This window comes from Homo sapiens, chromosome 11 (genome assembly GCF_000001405.40).
Source record: "Homo sapiens chromosome 11, GRCh38.p14 Primary Assembly".
Taxonomy (NCBI): Eukaryota; Metazoa; Chordata; class Mammalia; order Primates; family Hominidae; genus Homo; species Homo sapiens.
The window spans coordinates 72,784,997-72,801,816 of NC_000011.10; the positions used below are offsets into that span (position 1 = coordinate 72,784,997).

At 51.2% G+C, this 16,820-nt stretch overlaps 1 protein-coding gene across 1 annotated transcript in view, besides 7 other annotated features; it reads right to left on the bottom strand.

Annotated features, from left to right (window-relative positions):
* Nucleotides 1-9,051, bottom strand: part of STARD10 (StAR related lipid transfer domain containing 10) — a 39,319-nt gene extending 30,268 nt beyond the window's left edge. The window contains exon 1 of the mRNA NM_006645.3: nt 7,879-9,051. The gene's annotated coding sequence lies outside the window, so the exon portion shown is untranslated. The remainder of the gene's footprint in view (nt 1-7,878) is intronic.
* Nucleotides 1,097-2,095: an enhancer, noted in NCBI's record as "H3K4me1 hESC enhancer chr11:72497138-72498136 (GRCh37/hg19 assembly coordinates)". NCBI's record gives its function as "activates a minimal SCP1, AML or CMV promoter by ChIP-STARR-seq in primed H9 embryonic stem cells {active_cell/tissue: H9 hESC(primed)}" and the evidence as "EXISTENCE:reporter gene assay evidence [ECO:0000049][PMID:30033119]".
* Nucleotides 1,465-1,800: a silencer, noted in NCBI's record as "fragment chr11:72497506-72497841 (GRCh37/hg19 assembly coordinates)". NCBI's record gives its function as "represses an EF-1alpha promoter that drives an FKBP-Casp9 reporter gene in an ReSE screen in HepG2 liver carcinoma cells and phorbol 12-myristate 13-acetate-treated (for megakaryocytic differentiation) K562 erythroleukemia cells {active_cell/tissue: HepG2 | K562(+PMA)}" and the evidence as "EXISTENCE:reporter gene assay evidence [ECO:0000049][PMID:32094911]".
* Nucleotides 2,096-3,092: an enhancer, noted in NCBI's record as "H3K4me1 hESC enhancer chr11:72498137-72499133 (GRCh37/hg19 assembly coordinates)". NCBI's record gives its function as "activates a minimal SCP1, AML or CMV promoter by ChIP-STARR-seq in primed H9 embryonic stem cells {active_cell/tissue: H9 hESC(primed)}" and the evidence as "EXISTENCE:reporter gene assay evidence [ECO:0000049][PMID:30033119]".
* Nucleotides 2,755-2,874: an enhancer, noted in NCBI's record as "active region_5205". NCBI's record gives its function as "activates an Ori minimal core promoter by ATAC-STARR-seq in GM12878 lymphoblastoid cells {active_cell/tissue: GM12878}" and the evidence as "EXISTENCE:reporter gene assay evidence [ECO:0000049][PMID:35858748]".
* Nucleotides 7,176-7,675: an enhancer, noted in NCBI's record as "H3K4me1 hESC enhancer chr11:72503217-72503716 (GRCh37/hg19 assembly coordinates)". NCBI's record gives its function as "activates a minimal SCP1, AML or CMV promoter by ChIP-STARR-seq in naive H9 embryonic stem cells {active_cell/tissue: H9 hESC(naive)}" and the evidence as "EXISTENCE:reporter gene assay evidence [ECO:0000049][PMID:30033119]".
* Nucleotides 8,807-9,376: an enhancer, noted in NCBI's record as "active region_5206". NCBI's record gives its function as "activates an Ori minimal core promoter by ATAC-STARR-seq in GM12878 lymphoblastoid cells {active_cell/tissue: GM12878}" and the evidence as "EXISTENCE:reporter gene assay evidence [ECO:0000049][PMID:35858748]".
* Nucleotides 13,186-13,923: an enhancer, noted in NCBI's record as "H3K27ac hESC enhancer chr11:72509227-72509964 (GRCh37/hg19 assembly coordinates)". NCBI's record gives its function as "activates a minimal SCP1, AML or CMV promoter by ChIP-STARR-seq in primed H9 embryonic stem cells {active_cell/tissue: H9 hESC(primed)}" and the evidence as "EXISTENCE:reporter gene assay evidence [ECO:0000049][PMID:30033119]".

Sequence of the window (16,820 nt, forward strand, 5' to 3'; positions counted from 1 at the left end):
CCAGTAACTCAGGATTGATCTAGACTCCTGCAACCGGGGAAGGGAGCACTTGGAAAGAGTCACACCAGACTTTTTGTTCACTACCCCCTGATGGCTGTTGGGGGAGGGGTCAGGGCACCTGCCTGGAGCCAGCCACCCCATGACCTGGTCCCTAACACTCCCCTCAACTCCCCACAGCAGAACTAAAGACCCCTCAGACTAAGGGCATCTGGCCCCACCCCCTCCCTGTACAGATAGAGAAACAAAGATCCTACTAGCAGGGACAAAGCAGAAATAAGAACCTAGGGGCCGGGTGTGGTGGCTAACACCTGTAATCCCAGCACTTTGGGAGGCCGATACGGGTGGATCACCTGAGGTCAGGAGTTCAAGACCAGCCTGGCCAACATGGTGAAACCCCATCTCTACTAAAAATACAACAATTAGCCAGGTGTGGTGGCACGCACCTGGGAGCCTACTCGGGAGGCTGAGGCAGGAAAATCGCTTGAACCTGGGAGGCGGAGGTTGCAGTGAGCAGAGATTGGGCCACTGCACTCCAGCCTGGGTGACAGGGCGAGGCTCTGTCTCAAAAAAAAAAAAAAAAAAAAAAAAAAAGGGAATAAGAACCTGGGCCTCTCAGCTCCTAACCTGAGGGTCCTGTTCCTCCCACCCCGTATTACATACCACACCTTCCACTTGCCTGCCGGTGACCTTAACACGGTCACTGCCCTCTCTCAGCCTCAAGAGTCAGCCTCCCTCGGTGGCCCCCAACCTGCCCAGTGTCCTGGACAGTGAGGGGCCTGAAAGTCTAGCCTTGCTCCAGGATGCCCACCCCTACTCACCATCTAGTTCGACAGATGATGGCTGCCTTGATCTCCCCTCTGGGAGATGATAGGGTCCCACCCCTACCCCTTCTCCCCCACCCCCTCCTCAGGGGTAACCCTGCCTGCCAGTTTTGATGGAGCAAATTCACAGGTTGTGCAGGGCAACAAGGCAGTGTCCTGGCACTGTTCTAGAAGATTAGGCAGTGACCTGTGTGATGTCACCAGGAAGCAGTGACATGGAGGAGGAGTTCCAGAGACCCTCAGGGTGCAGCAGGCCGGGCGCGGTGGCTCACACCTGTAATCCCAGCACTTAGAGAAGCCAAAGCAGGCAGACTGCATGAGGCTAAGAGCTCAAGACCTGGCTGGGTAACATGGTGAAACCCCGTCTCTACTAAAAATTTAAAAATTAGCTGGGCGTGGTGGTGCACACCTGAGGTCTCAGCTAGTCAGAAGGCTGAGGCAAGAGGATGGCTTGAGCCCGGGAGATCAAGGCTGCAGTGAGCTGAGATGTTGCCACAGCACTCCAGCCTGGGTGACAGAGCAAGACTCTGTCTCCAGTTAAAAAAAAAAAGGAAAAAAAAGGTTCAGCACCAAGAACTCTGAGGCCCCCAGGGCTGGCTCGGCCTTGAGAGGGATGTGTCCTTCACAGTGGCGATAGGTGTTCCATCCCAGTCCCACCTGGAGCCGGATCTAAGTGTTTGCCCAGGGTGGGTCTCATACCTTGCTGGGCCTCACTGAGCAAACAGCTCACACCTGCCCTTAGGGAGCTGCTGGAGCCTCAGGGAGCCACACTGTAGTGCGCAGCCTCAAAGTCAGTGCAGGTCAGGGTCACCCCCACCTGCACTTCTCCTAATGTCCTGTCACAGTCCCATACAGAAACACTCCACCTTGGTATTACACAGGGCCAGACCTACACAGCTACACACACTTGATCATGCCAGGCCACACATGGCACCAAAGTGGAGTTGCCAGATAAAATACAGGACGACAGCCAGGTGCAGTGGCTCACACCTGTAATCACACCTATAATTCCAGTGCTTTGAGATGCTAAGGTGGGAAGACTGCTTGAGGCCAGGAGTTGGAGACCAGCTTAGGGAACATAGTGAGACGCCATCTCTACAAAAAAATGTAAAACTTAGCTGGGCATGGTGGCACATGCTGGTAGTCCCAGCTACTAAGTAGGAGCCTGAGGTGAGAGGATCACTTGAGCCCAGGAGTTCGAGGCTGCAGTGAGCTATGATCGTACTACTGCACTCTAGCCTGGGTGACAGAGAGAGACCCTGTGTCCAAAAAAAAAAAAAAAAAAAAAGGAAATGGGACAGCTGAGACACAGAGAGGCTAAGTAACTTGTTCTAGACCACACACCACTAAGTAAGCAGTTTCAACCCAGATGGCCTGGCCAAGCCATTATACAAGACCACTGAGCAGGGAACTTTGTGGCATCTGTCCTGCTTCCTCTTCCAGCCTTCTCCCCACCCCATCCTCTGATCCCTGCACCTCTGAACCCTGGGAGCTGCCCTCTGGGCCTCGCAGGGGCCGTTGCCTCCCCTAGGCTCAGGGGAGGGAGAAGTCTAGCTGCAATCCCTACCGCCACCACCATACAGGACTTCAGAGTTGACAGAATCCCCAGCAGGTGGGGAGGCCTCTTGACAGGAGAACAGGCCTAGAGAGGGCCAGAGGCTTGTCCCAGGTGGGCAGGGCCTGAAACAGAACCAGGTGGATTCTCCTTCCGGAGGGTTCCCAGGCCCAGATGGCCACACCCCGCTCTGCCTGCTGGGTCCTCCCGCTGTCGATGTCTATTGGACACTGGCGCCTGCCAGGAACTCAGTTCGATTGCGGGGTCGATGCGTCCTTCCAAAAGCCCGGGAGTTTCCTGTCAGAGGCGCCTGATCCATCTGCCTGACCCCAGGCCCTCCCTTCAGCTCTGTGCTCAGGCTGGGTGGGGGTGGGGGCATCGGTGTCTTGTGTCTTCAGGAAGGACAAGGTTGTCTAGGCCTTCCTCCACCAAGGTGGGCAAGAACTCCAGCCCTGGGACCACAGCTTCTTTTCTGGCAACCCACACAACTTCCTTCTTTTGGTTTCTTCTTCTTTTTTATCTCAAAGTTGGGGCCTCAGTGTCCTGACTCAGTACAGTTTCCACCTCCTGGAACTGGTGGGGACTCTGGGGAGGGCTCAGGGACACCGTTTGGGTGATAGGAGAGGTTTGGGGGGGGCAGCCCCAAAACATAGCCTAGACTGTTACTGTTCCTGAGGGAAGGGGCTCCTCTGGGAGGCTTTGTGGCCTGAGTGCTGTGGGCCTGCTTGGGGATCCTGGACCTACCCAGGGAGATAGCATGGCCTCAGGTATAGACCAGCTTCCATACCCAGGGACCATACGCTGGGACATTTGGGGTAGGGTCTTCTCTCACTGGGCCTTATTTTCCTTATCTGTCCGATGGCACTAATGGTCCCTGCCTGACCTTCTGCCTGAAGGGGTTACGAAGGTGAGACCAAGTGTGAAAGGCACCTACTGTGCCCAGTGCCCCTCCCTAGAGAGGGTGTGCAGAGCCGTGTGTGAGTGACAACCTACAGACCTCTGTCACCTCGGTGCTGGTGTGCACATTCTCCAGGAGCACGAGTGACTGAGGCCTATGTGGGAGCTGGGGTGTGGCTGTGTCGCACTGCAAGGTTTCTCAATGTGGGTGAGGCAGTGCCTTGGGTGTAAGATTACCAGATTTAGCAAATATTTGGGATGTACTTATAGTAAAAATGTATTTGTTGCTTATCTGAAATTCAGCCTTTTTTTTTTTTTAGATGGCGTCTCACTCTGTTGCCCAGGCTGGAGTGCAGTAGCACGATCTCAGCTCACCACCACCTCCCAGATTCAAGTGATTCTCCTGCCTCAGCCTCCCAAGTAGCTGGGACTACAGGCATGCGCCACCACGCCCGGCTAATTTTTGTATTTTTAGTAGAGATGAGGTTTCACTATGTTGGCCAGGCTGGTCTCAAACTCCTGACCTCGTGATCTGCCTGCCTCAGCCTCCTAAAGTGCTGGGATTACAGGCGTGAGCCCCTGCTCCCAGCCCATTTTTTTTTAAAAGATAGGATCTTGCTCTGTTGCCCAGACTGGAGTACAGTGGTGCAATCATAGCACACTACAGCCTTGAAATCTGGGACTCAAGTGGTCCTCTCTCGTCAGCCTCCTGAGTAGCTGGGACCACAGGTGTGCACTGCCACGCCCAGCTAACTTTGTAATTTTTTGTAGAGATGGGGTCTCCCCAGGCTGGTCTCGAACTTCTGGCCTCAAGCAATCCTCCTGCCTTGGCCTCCCAAAGTGCTGGGATTATAGGTGTGAGCCATTGTGTCTGGCCTCAGTTGTTCCATCTAAGTTGGGTGGACTAATAGAATTTCTGTCATGACAATGAGGATGAAGTGAGTTAATCCCGTGGAGTGCTTAGCACAGTGCCTGGCACACAGTGAGTGCTCAATAACTGCCACAGCTACTATCAGTTCTCAGTTCCTGAGCTTCCTTCCGCCAGGTCTGGCATCTGTCTCCGAGGCCTGGCCTCTGTCCTACATCTTTGTTCCTCAGTCTGGAGGCAATGATTTCTTTCTCCTGAGTGGGGTTAACCTAGAGCCTGGAGGGTTGAGAGGGAAGAGAGGTAGCTGAAATGACATCTTGTCCCCCTCCCTCACCCCCAATCCAAGCAGAGCTGCGAAAGGCCTGGTGTCAATGGCATTTGCTCCTTGCACCCACACAGCCCCTCCTCAATGTCTGACAGCTGCATGCTGGGACAGCAGTGAGGCACAGGGGGTCTGGCCATGTCTAGCCAGAGGGCAGCATGGCACTGAGAGGTCCACATTCCAGGGGCTGGCTCCCAGGACCGCGTGAGGACTGGTGTGGGTGGAATTCTCTAGGGGCTCTGTCTGAGAATGGGGCTGAAGGCTCTGCCCTGGGTCAAGGTTCACCCTAGGTTCCAAACCCACACCTGGAACAGGCCTGCAGCAGGCTCAGCTTCCATGGGCACTGCTATCTGGGGACTCCTGCCAACCACTGCTCCCTGCCGTGAGTCCCTGGTGTTCTGGGTCAGCAGGTATCTCCACAGGCTTCCCGGGGGAAGACTGCCTCTTTCAGCACCTTCTAAATTTAGGGCTTGGGCTCCGTGACTCACTCCTCTGAGCCTGCTTTGCTCCCCTCCTCCAGGAATGTGCTCCCACAGGATCTGCATCCTCTGCTGCCTCAGACTGATGAAGGCCCCACAATCCTGCAGCAGCCACACGCACACCAAGGAGAGCTCTCGGCCCCACTCGCCCCAGACCGGCCCTGGGTTTCTCCCGACTGGGCCCTGTACTCTCCTTCCCTTACCTCTCCATCTTCCCAACCCTCCCTGCAAACCACAGCCCACCCAGGTGGCTACATTGGGAGCTGGCTCCAAGCATGACTATGAGGGTAGTGGGGGGAGGAGAGGTGGAATCAAGCCCTGCCCCCTCCCATGTGGCTGTGGGCAGAGCCCTCACCTGAAGTCAGGAGGCTTGAGTTCTGGACCAGACTCACGCTTACCTCGCCGTGGGGCTCTCAGTGAGTTCTGGCCTCTCTGGGATTCTCTTTCCTCCTCTATAAATAAGGAGTTTGAACCAGACTTCCATTAGGGAAGCTTGAAACAGAGCTAAAGTGAGCACAGGGCCAGGCCTCCAACTACTAACAAGGTGGGCCGGGGGGGTATCTGATGTCAGGCCCTGTCTCCCACCCAGGCGCCCCTCTTCCCCCAGCCCCTGCTCCATGAGGGGAAACGAGGACCAAGAACCTGCTGTTAGCATTCATGGACTTCTGCCATGCAGGGAGGAAGCTCATGCACAACCCCACACCCTGAAAGGGCCAGAAAGAGCCCAGGATCTTGTTCTGGTCTGACTGTCCAGGGCTGTAATGTGTAGCTTTGAGTAAAAACCATCTTCACTCTTGGCCTCAGGTTGTGGGGAAGAGAATCATGTGCATGTGCAGGTGTAAACACTCGAGACATTTCTCCCCTGCCAGCTTCCCAGAACTGGAGGAGGAGATGGGGACATGGGTCCTCCCTTGACTTTCAGAAATGCAGGCACCCAGGGCAGGGTGTGGAGGTATCTAGAGATGGTCAGACCTGGGGCTGCTGCTTCTCTGCCCCTGCATTGACTTTTGGAGAACCCCATCTGCGGCCTGCCTCGACCTGTGTTCACAAGTAACAACAGTGGCTAACAGTTACTGAATGCTTACCACGGGCCTGGTGCTGGTCTATGCACTTAACAGGTCTTAACTCATTTAATTTATAGGTAAACCTTGATAACAGGTCTTAACTCATTTAATTTATAGGTAAACATTGAGACAGTCCCAAGGCTTAGCATCCCCACTTTACAGACAATTTGAGGCTCAGAGAGGGGCAGGGACTCACCTGGGGTCACAGTCTTAAATCACTGGGAGGGCTGGTTAAAAGCCAGGTCTGAGGGCAATCCTGGCTTCTATTTGCTACCCCAAGGTAGTCCTTCTCGGAGTATACATTAGACACTAAATAAATGTTTGATGAAGATGTTTGACTACTGCCATGTAATGGAAAGATCCCTGTCGTAGTCCAGTTCTACCCCAACTCCTTGTGTGTCCTTAATAGAGTCCTTTTCTGGCCGGGCGTGGTGACTCATGCCCATAATCCCAGCACTTTGGGAGGCCGCGAATGGATCACCTGAGGTCAGGAGTTTGAGACCAGCCTGGCCAACATGGTGAAACCGTGTCTCTACTAAAAATACAAAAAATTAGCCAGGCATGGTAGTGGGCACCTGTAATCCCAGCTACTTGGCAGGCTGAGGCAGGAGAATTGCTTAAACCCAGGAGGCGGAGGTTGCAGTGAGCCAAGATCGCACCCTTGCACTCCAGCCTGGGCAACAAGAGTGAAATTCCGTCTCAAAAAAAAAAAAAGAGGTCCTTTTCCTTCTTTAGCCTCAGTTTCTCTGGCTGAAAAACAGAAATGATAAGTGAAGGCCCAGATAATTAAATGCTTGGAGGTGAATCCAAGATCCACCTCCAGATAATTCCATTGAATTATCTTGGATACCTTTTTGTTGTTGTGTTTTGTTTTGTTTTGTTTTGTTTTGAGACGGAGTTTCGTTCTTGTTGCCCAGGCTGGAGTGCAATGGCACCATCTCGGCCCACGACAACCTCCGCCTCCTGGGTTCAAGCGATTCTTCTGCCTCAGCCTCCCGAGTAGCTGGGACTACCGGCATACACCACCACACCTGGCTAATTTTTTTTTTTTTTTTTTTTTTTTTTGAGACAGAGTCTTACTCTGTCAGCCAGGCTGGAGTACAGTGGCGCCATCTCGGCTCACCGCAAGCTCCGTCTCCCGGGTTCACGCCATTCTCCTGCCCCAGCCTCCCGAGTAGCTGGGACTACAGGTGCCCGCCACAACGCCCGGTTAATTTTTTTTTTTGTATTTTTAGTAGAGATGGAGTTTCTCCACTTTGGTCAGGCTGATCTCAACCCCCAACCTCAGGTGATCCGCTCGCCTCAGCCTCCCAAAGTGCTGAGATTACAGGCGTGAGCCACCGTGCCTGGCCTATCTGGGATATCTTGAAGGATCTTGGATTTCTATTTCTACATATACCTGCCTTTCATGACTTGCCTGGGGAGGCCCAATCTGTAATGAGACCTCAGGGTCTCCCAGCCCTTCCCCCAACCTACCCCCAAAACCTCTAAGAGCACTCTAGAGAGAATCAGCTGCATACAGCCCAGCTCCACCGCTCCAAGGGTCAGAGAAAAGTCCCCTTCCCTGGGGTTAGCTGCATGATCCTGCAGGTGCCATGGTGTGCCTAGGTGCCACCTCGCTTCACCTGGCTGGGGAGTGGCTCCTAGACCTCAGCTCAATGCGCATCACTTCCCCTTCTCATCAGCCAGGCCAGCCCAGGTATCACCTCCAGCTCCACTGCCCCCAGATGGAGTTACCTGAGTACCCAATTCCTCCCAAGCTCAGAAACAGTGTCCACTGCCTTCCCACTCCTTTCCATTCAGAGTCTGTCCCCTTAGTGCTGCCCCCTCATCTGTCACACCTGGGTTCTTTCCCTTACTTGGGCCACTGACCTGAGAAGCAGGGTCTGTACAGCTCCAGCAACACTCTCCTCTTCCTCCAGAATTCTCCAGATCCTCCTCAGCTTCTTGGCTCTGGTGCTCATCTCAACACAGCAGGGTCTTCCTCCATCAGGCCAAGGTGGGGGTAGGAGAAGAATTGGGAACAGGGACTCCCCTAGGTTCTCAGGGTACAGTCAGTCAATCTAAGCCTGTATCCAACAAAGACACTGACCCCTGGGGTACAAGGAAGGGCTCCAGGCCCAAAGGCAGGAGGATTAGGCTTTAGCTCTTGCTCACAGCCTGCTGAGACCTGGGGCAAGCCCCTGTCCCTCTTTGGGCCCTCAGGTTTGCAATTTGCAGAATGAGGAAATGGGTTCCTCAATCTACAATCACCTGACTATAATAATATTTTGCCTTTATATACCGCGTGGGTAAATTCCTGAAAGTAAACTAAGCTGTTTTCACCCCTGGATCTCATTTGATCCTCCCAACAGCCTGTTTGCATTTACAAATGAGAAAGCTCAGTTCCCTAAGGGAACAAAATTACCCAAAGTCACACAGCAAGCTGGAAGCAGAGCCTGGGTGCAGTCCTTGAATCCTGATCCTTCCCTGGTCCTTTACTCTCTATGATGCTGGAAATCTGCCTGACTTCCTCTAACCTGTTGTCCCATTTGTAAAAGGACTGTTGTGAGGACTGAATTAGGAGAGGCGATGAAGAGGGTCATTCCTTGTGAATCATAAAAGAAAGGACCACAGAACGATGACTGGACCGTTAGGTTACTATTTATTACGGTTATCTTCGCTCAGGCGCCCCCACGTGTCGATCCCGAGACTCTCGGCTTGCGCAGGCGCTCTTTGGTGTTTACAGCGGCCGCGAAGCCCCGCGTTTGCGCGTGCGCTTCCCGCCCGGGACCGCCCAGAGGTCCCGGACTAGGGGCGGACTAGGGGCCGCTCTGCCTCCCGCCCCCTAGTGGTTGTGGCCGCTCTGTCACCACGGCTCCCGGGGCCTCTGTCGGCTCCACTTTGGTTGAGACGTCTCCACAGCCCAACAACGGCGGCGATCTGAGGAGAGGCAGGAGAAAATACGGCGCGCTCGGCATCGTCCTTCTGACCGGGGACTCCAGCATCTCAGTCATCGCGTCACCAAGCCCCACGTGCAGGTTCTGGCATCCATCATGGCAAACTGGAGACCGCGGTGAATTCCACCGGAATGGCGCGCGCATTGCCACATGGGAACTGTAGTTCTTGGCTAGGACCTTTCTGGGGCTGGGCCGCTGGAAAAACTACATTTCTCAGGAGCTCAAGAGTCAGGCTGACAGAAAGGGGGCCCGCGGCATGTTGGGAGATGGAGTTTGGGGGGTTCGTGCTAGCAGGGAAACAGTGAAGCAATGGAGCCAAGTGTTCTGAGCCTGGGCCTGTGGGTTTGAGTTGGGCAGGAGTTACACAGTAGCTCTTATAAGAGAGGAGTAGCATTGTTGCGGCTTTTAGAAAGAATGCTACTTATTAGTTGTGTGATCTGAGCGATCAAGACAAATGCCCCTTTATCTTTTTTATTTATTTATTTTTTGAGACAGGGTCTCTGTCTGTCAGGCTGGAGTGCAGTGGCCCCAGAACTGCTGGCCTCCCGCCTCACCCTCCCAAAGTGCTGGGATTATAGGCGTGAGCCATCAGGCCTGGCCAGATGCCTTTTTATCAACTACGATGGACCTTAAGGTTAAGGTTAAGGAAACAAACGTTGCCTACCTCAGGGCTCAGCTGTCAGCTGGCATGGCAACTTCTTAAATTTCTACTGCTGCCAGAAAAACCACACTCTTACTAAACCCCTAGCAATAGGAGCTATCATGCAAATTGTCAGACTCTTCTTTACTGAGATTTACAACTCAGACCACTACAACGCTGATCGACAGAGGACAGGCCTTACAAACATTCTTTCCTGATAAGTAACTGCAGACCTCAGGCCAGTTTCAGCAAGCTCATAGAGACTGCACGCAAACTGTGTTTGTGTCCTATAGTCCACCTTATGATGCAAAGAACCAAATTCCACCTCACTTTAACGCAAAAACCCCATCCCAAAGTGAACATGGAACATATGTTACAGGTGTTTACCCATTGTGCATGCACTCACATCCCCTCATAAATATGTATAGCTTTTCCCCAAAACCTGCTGAATATGTATGATTATTGTGAAATACAGACCCTGTGAGTCATAAACCAGCCTAGGCCGGGAGTGGTGGCTCACGCCTGTAATCCCAGCACTTTGGGAGGCCAAGACGGGCGGATCACGAGGTCAGAAGATTGAGACCATCCTGGCTAACATGGTGAAACCCCGTCTCTACTAAAAATACAAAAAAATTAGCTGGGTGTGGTGGCGGGCGCCTGTAGTCCCAGCTACTCGGGAGGCTGAGGCAGGAGAATGGCATGAACCTGGGAGGTGGAGGTTGCAGTGAGCCGAGATCGCACCACTGCATTCCAGCCTGGGCGACTGAGCGAGACTCCGTCTCAAAAAACAAAAACAAAAAACAACCAGCCTGCCTTTTCCCTATACAAAGAGAGAGCACCTTTGGTACCTACAGGAGAGTGTCTCTTTTCAGTTTGCAAACTGATGTCGCTAATGAAACTGCCCTCTACTATTTAGGCATCCTGGTGTTCTAGAGGGTAGCAGTCTGCACCTCTCACAGGGCTTCCTCTTCCATCACTCCTCAGAGACTGTATTCACAGGGGTCACCTGTGTGTGAGATGCAGTTTGTCTTTTTTGGGGGGAGGGCAGGGGCTGTTCGTTTGTGGTTTTTTTTTTGTTTTTTGTTTTTTTTTTTGAGACGGAGACTTGCTCTGTCATCTAGGCTGGAGTGCAGTGGCATGATCTGGGGCTCACTGCCAGCTCCGCCTCCCGGGTTCATGCCATTCTCCTGCCTCAGCCTCCTGAGTAGCTGGGTCTACAGGCACCCGCCACCACGCCGGGCTAATTTTTTTTTTTGTATTTTTTTAGTAGAGATGGGGTTTCACCGTGTTAGCCAGGATGGTCTCGATCTCCTGACCGTGTGATCCGCCCACCTCGGCCTCCCAAAGTGCTGGGATTACAGGTGTGAGCCACTGTGCCCGGCCTTGTTTTTGTTTTTTTGAGACAGGGTCTCATTCTGTCACCCAGGCTGGAGGCAAGACCATTGTTCACTGCAGCCTGGACCTCCTGGGCTCAATCTATTCTCCCACCTCAACCTCCTGAGTAGCTGTGTTTATAGGCACACACCACTACACCTGGCTAATTTTTTTTTAATTCTCACTTTAATTATGTTTTGCCTTTTTTTTTTTTTTTTTTAGATGGAGTCTTATTCTGTCACCCTGGCTGGAGTGCAGTGGCTCACTGCAACGATCTTGGCTCACTGCAACCTCCGCCTGCCAGGTTCAAGGGATTCTTCTACTTCAGCCTCCCAAGTAGCTGAGATTACAGGCGCACACCAACACGCCCAGCTAATTTTTTTTTTTTTTTTGAGAAGGAGTCTTGCTCTGTCGCTCAGGCTGGAGTGCAGTGTCGTGATCTTGGCTCACTGCAACCTCTGCCTCCTGGGTTCAAGAGATTCTCCCGCCTCAGCCTCCTGAGTAGCTGGGATTACAGGTGCTCACCACCATGCCCAGCAATTTTTTTTTTTGTATTTTTTTAGAGACGAGGTTTCACGCTGTTGGTCAGGCTGGTCACGAACTCCCGATCTCATGATCCACCCACCTCGGCCTCCCAAAGTGCTGGGATTACAGGCGTGAGCCATCATGCCTGGCCTAATTTTTGTATTTTTAGTAGAGATGGGGTTTCACCATGGTGGCCAGGCTGGTCTCAAACTCCTGACCTCAGGTGATCCCCCTGCCTTGGCCTCCCAAAGTGCTGGAATTGCAGGTGTGAGCCACCGCGCCCAGCCTAATTTTTTGTGATTTTTGTAGAGACAGGGTTACGCCATGTTGCCCAGGCTGGTCTCAAACTCTTGAGTTCAAGGGATCCTCCTGCCTTGCCTCCCAAAGTGCTGGGATTACAGGCGTGAACCACCCCACCTGGTCTCAAACTCCTCTTTGGAAAAAAAGTATGGGCCACAGATTCTACTGTGGCTGTTGTCTCTTTCCCAGGTTTGTCCTCAACCATGGTAAAATAAATCTCTAAACTGATAGAGACCTGTCTCAGGTACTTTTTGGTTTACAAAATTGTATTAATAGGCCGGGTGCAGTGGCTCACGCTTGTAATCCCAACACTTTCAGAGGCCAAGGCATGGGGATCACTCGAGGCCAGGAGTTCGAGACCAGCCTGGCCAACATGGCGAAAACTTGTCTCTACCAAAAATACAAAAATTAGTCAGGCATGGTGGTGCACACCTGTAATCCCAGCTACTTAGGAGGCTGAGGCAGGAGAATCGCTTGAGCCTGGGAGGTGGAGGTTGCAGTGAGCCGAGATTGTGCCACTGCACTCTGCACTCTGGCCTGGGCAACAGAGTGAGACTCTGTCTCAAAAAAAAAAACAATTTTTTAAAAATTATATGAATAAGAATGAGGCCGGGTGCTGTGGCTCATGCCTGTAATCCCAGCACTTTGGGGAGGCTGAGATGGGCAGGTCACTCGAGGTCAGGAGTTCGAGACCAGCCTGGCCAACATAGCGAAACCCTGTCTCTACTAAAAATACAAAAATTAGCTGGGCATGGTGACACGTGCCTATAGTCCCAGCTACTCGAGGCTGAGGCAGGAGAACTGCTTGAACCCGGGAGACAGAGGTTGCAGTGAGCTGAGATCATGCCACTGTACTCCAGCCTTGGTGACAGAGTGAAACTCCAGCTCAAAAAAAAAAAAAAAAAAGAAAAAGAAAAAGAAAAACACTTGCTTGGAAGATCTAAGTCACTAAATAGACAGGGTTTATAATGCAGGTACAGAGATCCAGGTAAGGAAGTTTTGAACACAATATTCTACATCTATCTTATTTTTTCCAAAGAAACAGGACTGTAGGTCCTGTGGCAGTCCAGAACTGATGCCAGCCCCTTTATACACAGTTCTGCTTTGCTTTGAGCCTATCAAAATATTGCTTCATTTAAATTTCACCTCATCTCCACCCCCTCCCAAACCCTGTAAAACTATCTTCCTTTGTGCTTAGTGGGACACTCCTTGGTTTCTCCAGTGTGCTGTCTGTCTCATTACAAGGGGACAAGAAACCTGACTTCATCAAACCATGGGTTTGTTCCTTGGTGGTCTTGGCTGATTGGGCTAGGACAGCCTGAAATACTGGTGTCCTCCAGGTCTGCCACAGACCCTCTCTTTACTCTGCACACTTTTTTGGGATGACCTCATTCACTTCCATCCATATGCTTATAGCCCCCAAACCTCCAGCTCAGGCCTTCTTCCTGCCTCTAGGACATCTCCCTCTGGTCGACTCACAAGTTCCTTAAACTAGGTGTGTTCAAAACTGACTTTTTTTTTTTTTTTCTGACTCTTTGGTTGGAGGGCAGCTACTCCTCACTGGGCCAGGTCCCTCTTTACCCACTGCCCACAAACTGCGTCACATTGAATCGGCTGTTTTTCACATAGATCAATATCCTAAAACCTTAGAAAGCTGGGAGGATTTCAAGGTGGGGGAAGGTAGAAACTGGGCCCGATTTGCTCCACCCCCTCATCCCTGTCTCTTGACAAGGGGTTGGGCCTCAAGGTGGAGGCTGCAGAGGAGGTCCCGCCTTTCTACCCCTTCTCCTGATCTGAGCTCTCATGGTCTCCTACCTTGAAGACTTTCTAGTCAGTTTCCCCACCCCCTCCAGTCTTGATCCCTTCTTGTGTCTTGGGAATTTCACAGCCACCTCTCTTCTCTGATCCTGGTGGCTTTCTCCTGGGGTCAGCTGAGATCTCTGCAGAGGGGCAGCCTGTGGCCTATCTGCTGCTGGGAGGGGGAGTACTGTGACAGGAAGCTTCCCTGTGGCTGTGCCTGGTTTTCCTTCTAACACTTCTTGAAACCAAACACACTTCCATAGAGGGTCTAACTTCTTTGTGAGGGGATCCTCTTGCCACTTCATCCCAATCCACCTCTGCCACGTCTCATACCAAACAAATTTGTATTCCTTTTATTCACATGACTTTGACCTGGCTTCTTTTAAAATAATATGGGGTCATCTTCCTCTCTCTTGCCTTTTTTTTTTTTTTTTCTGAGATGGAGTTTCGCTCTGTCACCCATGCAGAGTGCAGTGGCACAATCTCAGCTCATTGCAACCCCTGCCTCCCAGGTACAAGTGATTCTCCTGCCTCAGCCTCATGAGTAGCTGGGACTACAGGCATGCACACCGCCATGCCTGGCTAATTTTTTGTATTTTTAGTAGAGATGGGGTGTCACCATGTTGGCCCGGCTGGTCTTGAACTCCTGACCTCAAATGATCCACCTGCCTTGGCCTCCCAAAGTGCTGGGATTACAGGCATGAGCCATTGCGCCTGGCATCTCTTGCCCATTTCGAAGCATTTTCCACATTAGCCAATATTGAATGATGCTTGATTCTTCCCTTGGGGGGAGGAAAGGTATAATTTCAGTTCACTCCATCCCAAACACTGTTTTCCCTTTAAGGTGTCAACCTAAATAACAGAGAGGCTCTTTAAAAGAAAATGACGTTTATTTGGGAATAGAACATCGCAATGGGAATACACATGCTATAGAAACCAGTGTGTATTCAGGGAGGTAAATGAAGACAAATGTTTTCAAAGGGAAAAAATGAGGAGGATTATATAATTGTTTTGAAATAATTATGCTTGGCTACAGAGATCAGGTGACACCAGTCTGGGGTTAGCCAGGCAGTTGCTGGGCAGATTCCCTCACAGAAGTATTTTTATTTTTTTTAATTAATTAATTTTTTCTTTTTTTGTGTGGAAGGTTGCAGGTTGTGGTTTTTATAGTCGTTTGTGATTGTTTTTCTTTTCTTTTCTTTTTTTTTTTTTTTTTGAGACAGAGTCTGGCTCTGTCGCCCAGGCTGGAGTACAGTGGTGTAATCTCGGCTCACTGCAACCTCCACCTCCTGGGTTCAAGCGATTCTCCTGCATCAGCCTCCCGAGTAGCTGGTATTACAGGCGTGTGCGACCGTGCCTGGCTAATTTTTGTATTTTTGGTGGAGACAGGGTTTCGCCATGTTGGCCAGGCTGGTTTCGAACTCCTGACCTCAAGTGATCCTCCTGCCTTGGCCTCCCAAAGTGCTGGGATAACATGTGTGAGCCACTGTGCCCGACCTGTGATTGTTTTTCTTTTTCTCTTTTTTTTTTTGAGATGGAGTTTCACTCTTGTCACCCAGGCTGGAGTGTGATGGCACGATCTTGGCTCACTTGGGTTCAAGTGATTCTCCTGCCTCAGCCTCCCAAGTAGCTGGGACTACAGGTGTGTGGCACTACACCTGGCTAATTTTTTTTTTTTTTGTATTTTTAGTAGAGACGGGGTTTCACCATTTTGGCCAGGCTAATCTTGAACTCCTGACCTCAAGTAATCCACCTGCCTCAGACTCCCAAAGTGCTGAAATTACAGGCGTGAGCCACCATGCCTGGCCTGTGATTATTTTTCTTAGGAGGCATATAAGCATAACAATTCTCTCTTCATATCCTTCCCTGACCGTACTGTCAGGGTTTTTTTTTTTAAGTTAATTAATTAATTAAGCTGCTAAGTTCTAGGTAATTTGTGCTAAAATAAATTATTAAAATTAATTGATTAATTTTTTTTTTTGGAGATAGGGTCTCACTCTGTCGCCCAGGCTGGAGTGCAGTGGCACGATCTCGGCTCACTGTAACCTCTACTGCCTGGGCTCAAGTGATCCTCCCCCTTAGCCTCCTGAGCAGCTGGGATTACAGGTGTGCACCACCATGCCTGGGTAATTTTATAATTTTTTGTAGAGACAGGGTCTTGCCATGTTGCCCAGGCTGGTCTTGAACTCCTGGGCTCAAGCAATCCTCCCACCTCAGCCTCCTGAAGTGCTGGGATTGCAAGTATGAGCCACCACACCCAGCCTTGTTTTTTTTTTAAATACTAGTGACCTCTGTTTGGTATGGCTGTTTTTTTTTTTTTTTTTTTTTTTTTTGAGATGGAGTCTTGCTCTGTCGCCCAGGCTGGAGTGCAGTGGCACGATCTCGGCTCACTGCAAGCTCTGCCTCCTGGGTTCACACCATTCTCCTGCTTCAGCCTCCCGAGTAGCTGGGACTACAGGCACCCGCCACCACGCCCGGTGAATTTTCTTTTTGTATTTTTAGTAGAGATGGGGTTTCACCGTGTTAGCCAGGATAGTCTAGATCTCCTGACCTCATGATCCACCTGCCTCAGCCTCCCAAAGTGCTGGGATTACAGATGTGACCCACCGCGCCTGGCGTTTTTTGTTTTTTTTGAGACAGGGTTTGCCTCTGTTGCCCAGGCTGGAGTGCAGTGGCGTGATCAGGGCTTACTGCAGGCTTAGCCTCCTCCTGGGCTCAAGTGATCCGCCCACCTCAACCTCCCAAAGTGCTGGGATTATAGGTGTGACCCACCGCTCTGGGCCAAGTGACTCCATTTTGATTCTGGCAACTTTCATAAAATAATAGTGAATAGTGAGTGCATGTGGTATGCACACAAGGTCAGGGAGTGCTGAGACCCCATTAGCAACTGCTATGGTCTGAATGTTGGTATCACCCCAAAATCCATACATTGGAACCTGATACCCAATGTGATAGTATTCAGACGTGGGGCTTTGGGGGAATGATTAAATCATGAGGGCTCCACCCTCATGAATGGAATTGGTGCCCTTATAAAAGAGGCTCAAGAGAGCTTCCCAGGCCTCTTCTACCATGTGGGAATAGAGAGAGAAAGCACTGTCTTTGAAGCAGACAGCAGCCCTCACCAGACACTGAATCTGTTGGTGTCTTGATCTTGGACTTCCCAGCCTCCAGAAATGTGAGCAATAAATTTCTCTTGTTTATAAATGACCCACTCTAGGGTGTTTTATTATAGTAGC